The 7,640-nt window shown below is 42.0% G+C and overlaps 1 protein-coding gene across 7 annotated transcripts in view; it reads right to left on the bottom strand.

Moving 5' to 3' along the window:
- MYO16 (myosin XVI) overlaps positions 1-7,640 on the bottom strand; it is a 712,290-nt gene that overhangs the window by 26,912 nt on the left and 677,738 nt on the right. For all 7 annotated transcript variants that reach the window (XM_011521062.2, XM_047430183.1, NM_015011.3 and 4 more), the window contains one exon: positions 1,461-1,552. In XM_011521062.2, the coding sequence (XP_011519364.1) occupies positions 1,461-1,552 (92 nt within the window). The remainder of the gene's footprint in view (positions 1-1,460; positions 1,553-7,640) is intronic.

The raw sequence follows: 7,640 nt of genomic DNA, 5'->3' as shown, positions 1-7,640 counted from the left end.
AGCACCCTACTATATACACCGTCTTTCAAATGACTCCCTTTGTCTAAGAACCACATTGCAGGGGCAGGCCTGGAAAGGATGTCAGATGGCCTAGCATTGTGTTGTAATGTACAGGGGGCAGGCCTGGAAAGGATGTCAGATGGCCCAGCGTTGTGTTGTAATGTACAGGAGTCAGGCCTCCAATACAAAAATCAAACCAGTGTTCATGACCAGGAGGTTCCCCTGTGCATGATCTCAGAGGAAGCATCTGTGATGCTTACAAGGTAAAGTAGATGCATCTCTAAGGAATAGAGGGAAGATTAGGACAATCTATTATTGCAACCAATCAGCATTTTCTTTCTATTTCAGTGCCTGGATATCAGTGCAAGTGATTTCAGAAGATTGCCTACTGTAAGATTTATTCTTAAGATTCAAACTATTGATTTTTCTCACTACCTCATCAGTGTTATTTAGAAAAATCTCAGCTGATAATATGGCCATGCCTCTATAATGCTAAATATTCCAAGGAAAGCTGATCATTAGCTGTATAGTTGATTTCGTGGAAACATCTGGATACTTGGCTGAGGTTATTTTAGACTTTTATGTAGATGTTTGACATAAAAATTGTGCTGTAACTTTAGATAAAATGAGAATCCTGTTGCTAAAGCAATAGTCTGTTAATATATTGATAACAAAGTCTCTCTAATGGGTGGTTTGTGCATCACCTTGAATGCAACATTATATATTTTAAAGACAATTATTTAAAGTATATTTTAAAATTCAACATAAAAGGAAAATAAAACAGTACATTCTATAATATAAATTCTTTCACTTTCTAGAAGCACAAATGGGTTCTTTTTTTCTTCTTCTTGAAGTGATAATCTTGTTTATTTTGGTGAAATTGTTAGGAAGAGACACATAAAACATTTACATGCAATCAGTAATGCACCTCCAAACAGTTTTGTGGACTGCAATCTCATTTTGATTTTACCATGTTCTCATCATATGTCATATTTTAAATGAATGTGAATTACATGGAAATGAATGTCATAACTGAGATAAGATGCATGCCATGAAACCACAGGTGGTTCAAGCATTTTATTCCCAGGTGTGGTCACTAAGAGTCATCCTATTTTAGCCAAGGTCAAATGCATAGCAACTTCATTCAGCAGATTTAATATCATCTTCACCCGAGAATAATTTTAAAGTACCACAATATAAATTAAATCTACAATATTTCATTTAAAACTATTATGTTTTAGTTGTTTTGGACATTATTCCTTATTTTGGAAACAAGCAGAAAATTGCAGTCAGCTGAGGTGGAGAGAGAAGACCATTCAGCTGAAGGAGTGCAGGGCAGAGGTGAGAACAGCTGAGCCCTCCAGTCCACACAGAGCATCTATTGGTAACAAGTTAATGAATGCCTTGTCATAACTTAATTCCATTTGTCACTGCACATGTGAACAGACAGACATCATTACCTGAGTGGTGTGACTGTCCCTGTGTCTTTGAAATGTCGAAGTCCCTGTGCCACTTATAGACAACCGTGAGTATCCATCTTCTTCAGGTAAACCTATTGAGGTCAACACAAATCGGGAGTTAAGCAGTGTCTCCTTGTTCCAAATAAAGTAAGTCATGCACTCATTACAATAAACTAGAATTGTTATCTTTTATGAATTGAAATGATGATCCTTAAACACAAACTAAATACTAAATTTTGCAATGAAACATGGGCATGCACAGTATTGTGGCAGCTTCATTTAGGAAAAGAGGGCATATCCTGCCAAAGGAGATACAATGATAATAAGGAGATATGTGATAATAGCACAAAAGTGAGCAGATAAGTATTGGAGGGGAGAAGGGAAACTTCTAGAGACTGAAAAGGTTTGAAGAAGCATACGGGGTCAGTGACGGGCCCACTGAGTCACTAGGGTGACTGCAGACAGCAGAATGTGGCTGCCATTCATAGGATTGCAGGGAGACGAGGAAGGGATTGAAAATCAGAGCATAACTAAGCCTGTGTGTCTGATGAATTCCACTGGCTGTAGTTCATTTTGTGCACAAGGAAGCAAAGAGATTGGCTGAATTTCCATGAGGAAAAGGTGGGGAGAGCTGCCGATTCACAACACACCAATTCATGAGCAACCATGCAGAGTAACTTGTAGGTTTATGAAACTTTACATGTCCCTCAACAACGCGAAGTTACTATGAGGCACCAAATGATTTGATTAATTATCCTTTATGATCAAAGCAGTTTCCCAGCCTCTGCACTATTGGAATTTTGGCCTGTATAATTCTTTGCAGTGGGGTCTGCCCCATGCATCCCTGACCTCCACCCACTAGATGCCAGCAGCACCCCCATTTGTGGCACCCAGAAATGTTCCCAGACATTGCCAAAAGTTCCTTGGAGGGCAAAGTCATCCCCTCCTACACGGGCTGAGAATCACTGTGATACAGGCGCAATGCATCACCGCAAGTGACTTCGATTAATAAACATGAATAGACAAAAAGAGAAATAAGAACCCAACAAAATGAATTCAACTCAGAGAACTTTAAATACTGAAGTGATTACTACTCTCCTCTGAAAGCATAATTAACTAGCACAGGTAATTGATTAAACATATACATAATTCCTAAATTAAAAATCATTAGACAATCAGTGCACGCTTTTCCAATTATAGGAGAGAGTTCCTCAGGGAAGTCGACACAATCCTGTCAACACACAACAAGGCCTTCCAGGTGATCTTGTTACATGTCCAGATACCTTGGTATGGAAAAGCTAACTTCATGAAGACTGGGCGGACAATGGCTAGTGGGTGGGGGGGGTCTCTTGCTGGAGAACAGATCTCGGCCACAGGCAGCAGCAGTAGCCTCAGGTGCTACGTGGCAATAGTGTCCTTAGACACTGTGGTGGCAGGACACAGGAAAGGCTCCAATCACAGTGAGTGTCAGAGCAGCCTGAAATTCACACAGGCGGAAGGGAGTGTGTCAATCCAAGATCAGGCACAATATGAAATTTCAGGAAACTAGATAAAGCAGATAGTTGGAAAAAAAATGTGTTTCCGGGTAGTAGGGCACAACAAAGGGCTTGGGATTCATGTGAAGGACCACCTCTTAGAGGGGAATAAAGGATGGGGTGCTGGGAGGAAGGGGCTGATTGATAAGCAAGATAAACCTTCACTTCTATAGGAACCATAAAGAAACCAGTTCACCAGATGTCTTACTAAGACAGGGGATCTGTGGCAGGAGAAGACAAATGTGATCCATTTTTCAAACCTAAATTATAAATTAGAAGTCGGGGCTGGGTGCACTGGCTCACGCCTGTAATCCCAGTACTTTGGGAGGCTAAGGTGGCGGATCACCTGAGGTCAGGAGATCGAGACCAGCCCAGCCAACACGGTGAAATCCCATCTCTACTAAAAATACAAAATTACCCGGGCACGGTGGTGCACACCTGTAGTCTCAGCTACTCAGGAGGCTGAGGCAGGAGAATCGCTTGAACCTGGGAGGGAGAGTTGCAGTGAGCCAAGGTTGCTCCATTGCACCCCAGCCTGGGTGACAGAGTGAGACTCCATCTCAACATAAATAAATAAATAATAAATAAATAAATAAATACATAAAATTAGAAGTTGGATCTCAGAATCAAAACAGAAACTCAGTTGAAAGGGTATAAGCTCAGAGCGGAATCGATAGCCTGCTGAGCACTGCATAGAGTCAATTAAATTAAGGTTAAAAACATTTATGAGCAACCGCTGCATAAGGCGCTGAGAAATACAAGGAAGAACGAAGAAAAGTCCCCACCCTTGAGAAAGTCAATTCAGTGAGAATGGCACTGAGGCCAAACACACAGCAGCATGATTTCAGGATTAAGAGGAGTACAGGTCACGTTGAACAGGGTCTTGGAGAAGGTAAGGATGCATTCTGATGGAACGGACTAGAGTAAACTTCATGGTGGTGTTGCTAAAGGACCTGGGCCTTCGAGGAGGAGGAGAATTGTGGAGGGCGAACAAAGTCGAGAAGGACATGCCTGGCTGAGAGCACAAATGTGATAAGGCAACAAAACACAAGGACGCTTCGCGGAAATGTGACCACACTTTGGAGACGATAGGTAGCACTGCAGACTTCCCAGAAGAGAAGTGACACCATTTTATCTAAGTAATGAGTTCAAAGGTATTTCATTCATAACTGTTGACTAAAGAAAGAATGGGTCCCAGAACCTGTGTCAGGGCTCCACAGACAGGGACATATGGCAGCTTGGGCAGGTGGTCGCATGCAGGTGGAGGGCCAGGTGAGGACAGCGGGGAGGGAGGCAGGTGAGTGGGTGCTGGGGGAGACGGGCATGTGGAGGAGGGGGTGGGACAAGCGACTGGGCCCGAGAAGTCAGAGGGAAGGGGATTTTTTGAAGGTTGTAGCAAACAGGCCAAGGGTCCTCATCACGGCCAACGCAGTAACATTTTGAGAACTGGAAGGGACAAAGTGACGGCCAGGAAGCGCCAAAGGTGCAAAGGAGGTCTTTTTTTTTTTTTTTTTTTTTTTTACCAGCACAATATTTTATTTAGCTGCCGTATTAGAAGCAGTACCTTTTTAAGGCAAATTATTTTAAAATGACACCAAACGCACAAACCATGAATAAAAAAAAAGAAAACGGATTCATGTCTCTCTATAAACATTAAAAATAAACATATTGACAATGCCCTAAAAATAAAATGTGTATTTTAAAAGAACAATGTAGAACATTGAAATATATTAAATAAGAGGCTTTTTTAATTCTTCAAACATCCTACAGATCCCAGATATTAAAAAATGGACAAAGAATAAAAGTTTAGAAAATAAAGGAGAAAAAATATGAAAATATGAATGGCTAATAAGTAATACACATATTCAATTTCATTAAGAATTCCAAGTAATGGATATGAGACTACGTAACATTCATTCTATCTATCAAAATAACACAGTTTTAAAACTTTTTATTACAAACATTTCAGACATAAAGAGAATATGCAGTGAAACTCCATGCACCCATTCCAAGCCTTGGGGCTGTCAATTTTATCCATTTTTATCCATTTTTTATTCATTTTTCACTTAAATCCCAGAAATCATGTCATTTCAGCTGTAAATGTTTGTACATGTGTCCTTAACTGACAAGAACTTTTTTTTTTTTAACATAGCAAGGATTTTCTCACGCAGCTAAAGGGAACATTGCTAAGCAAAGGCCTCCAGAAAAGTCCCACAGTCCTGCGTGGGTAGAGAATCCCACGGCGCATTTTAACCAGGGTGAAGACTCCAATCGTGTTGGAGGAACATTTAAAGTGAAGATGGAGCTCTTTATCTGTGCCTTCATTAAAAGGTGGAATTCTGTCTGAGAAGGAGCTTCTGCACATTCTGAGAAGCCCCCACTGCTCCTCTTACTGTAGCAGCCTTCTCCCCAGACCAGGCTTGGAGTTAACAATTCCCAGCTTAGAGATTCATGTGTCCCTTGCTGAACACATTCTTTCCAGGGCAATAGTGTGCTTCAAAAAGTTGAGCTTTTGGTCCATTATGATACCAAACTATTTCAAAAAGCCATTCTTGCCCAAATGACAGCAAATCAAGGTCTTCTGAAACTGCGTCCACCCTACTCTACCCTCCAGATAGCCAGCTCTTCTGCTCAAAGAAAACATGCAGATGTTCAGGGGAAGGAATTCCCCAAAGCTGATCTCCATGGCATAATGGATATGCTGTGGACACTCCATAGAACCTGCTGCTGCTCCTTCAAACTTGGGTGGGCAAAAGTCGAAAAGGCTTTGGCCTTGATTGAAGGTTTAGCAGGAAGAAGCAGCCTCTGTTCTCCCTCTCCTCCTGAATTGGAGGCTGCTCAGAGCACTGAAAGTTAAACCTTCCTGCAGGACACAAAGAGGAATGGCTTTTAGGACATCCTCCTCATCACTGTGGTGTAGACCTGGTCCCTGGAGTTCTGTGTGATTTTTAAAGAAGTAATTTTGAAAAGTGGCAGACTCTGGGGCCATGAGGTCTACATGCAGAGCGTAGTGGGTTCATGTAAATTCTTATAAAAAGAAAAGAATGAGGGCTGGGTGCAGTGGCTCACGCCTGTAATACCAGCACTTTGAGAGGCTGAGGCGGGCAGATCACGAGGTCAGCAGATCAAGACCATTCTGGCTAACACGGTGAAACCCTGCCTCTACTAAAAAAAATACAAAAAAAAAAATGTGGTGGCATGCGCCTGTAGTCCCAGCTACTCGGGAGGCTGAGGCTGAAGAATCACTTGAACCTGGGAGGCGGAGTTTGCAGTGAGTTGAGATTGTGCCACTGCACTCCAGCCTGGGCGACAGAGCAAGACTCCATCTCAAAAAAAAAAAAAAAAAAAAAGACAAGACAAGAATGAGAAAGAGACTTTCAAGGGGGGTATGGCACTGAATTTTACATGGCTGACCGGTTAGAATCTATTAGTCAAATCTGTCATTTTGTAGGGACCCAAACTTGTTTAGTCAATGGCAAGAGGGTTTGAATTCTCTTTTTACATCTGTCCAGCTTTCCAAGTATTCCATCACCTTTAAATCCACTACCCTCTTGATTTCCATGAAATTGGACATCTGTCTTCTATCTCTTGAGCACCTATTGTATGTCTCCATTTCCCCCCTTCTCAATGTAAATTTCTCAAACTTTGGCATTCTGAGTGGTTTAGTGGTCATATTTCTTTTCTTATTTCTCTTTATGATTGTTCCTCTGATGCTATAAATAACCACCATGTCTCCAGCTTCTTTAAAAATTCTGGCTTTTCTCTTTCTATCCTGGAACCCTGGCCTAAACTCCAAACCTGTCATCATCATTTATGGAAAAATCATCCATAATCAGAAGTCCTTTTCTCTTGAGCTCCAAATCCGCTTATAGAATTAACCTCCTTTGGGAATTGCCCTTCCCTTCTTAAGAGTGCTGTATTCTCCCATCATTTGCCTCAAATTCTTGGAGTCGTTCTTGACACCTTCCTCTTCTTGACTCCTACACCAATACAGTCTTTAATACTCTTGCTTCATGTACAAAACCTGCCAAGGCTTAAGTAGTGAATGAATTCAAAACTGGCACCCCCAAACTCAGTTTCCAATTCTATTGTTCACCCTGGATAGTACAATCAGGTACACTTTTCCAAAACAGCAGAGAGTACCCCCCCCCATCAAAACAAGGACAACCCTTTCAGAGATACTCTTTTTTTTTTTTTTTTTTTTTTTTTTTGAGATGGAGTCTCGCTCTGTCACCCAGGCTGGAGCGCAGTGGCGCGATCTCGGCTCACTGCAAGCTCTGCCTCCCAGGTTCACTCCTGCCTCAGCCTCCCAAGTAGCTGGGACTACAGGCGCCCACCACCACGCCCGGCTAATTTTTTGCATTTTTAGTAGAGACGGGGTTTCACCGTGTTAGCCAGGATGGTCTCGATCGCCTGACCTTGTAATCCGCCTGCCTCAGCCTCCCAAAGTGCTGGGGTTACAGGCGTGAGCCACCGCGCCCGGCCGAGACACTCTTTAAATTGGCATTCATGGCTCTGTAGACTCCTACATAATTGTTTCTTTCCTCTGTTATTTACTCACCTATTCTATCAGAGAAGCTGATTCACATTTCTGCCACAATACATTGTGCAGCAAATTCATGGAAATGTGCTCCTTTCTTTTCTG

Source organism: Homo sapiens, chromosome 13, assembly GCF_000001405.40.
Source record: "Homo sapiens chromosome 13, GRCh38.p14 Primary Assembly".
Classification (NCBI taxonomy): Eukaryota; Metazoa; Chordata; class Mammalia; order Primates; family Hominidae; genus Homo; species Homo sapiens.
The sequence above is the reverse complement of the archived record's forward strand: the minus strand, read 5'-3'. Positions and strand labels throughout refer to the sequence as shown.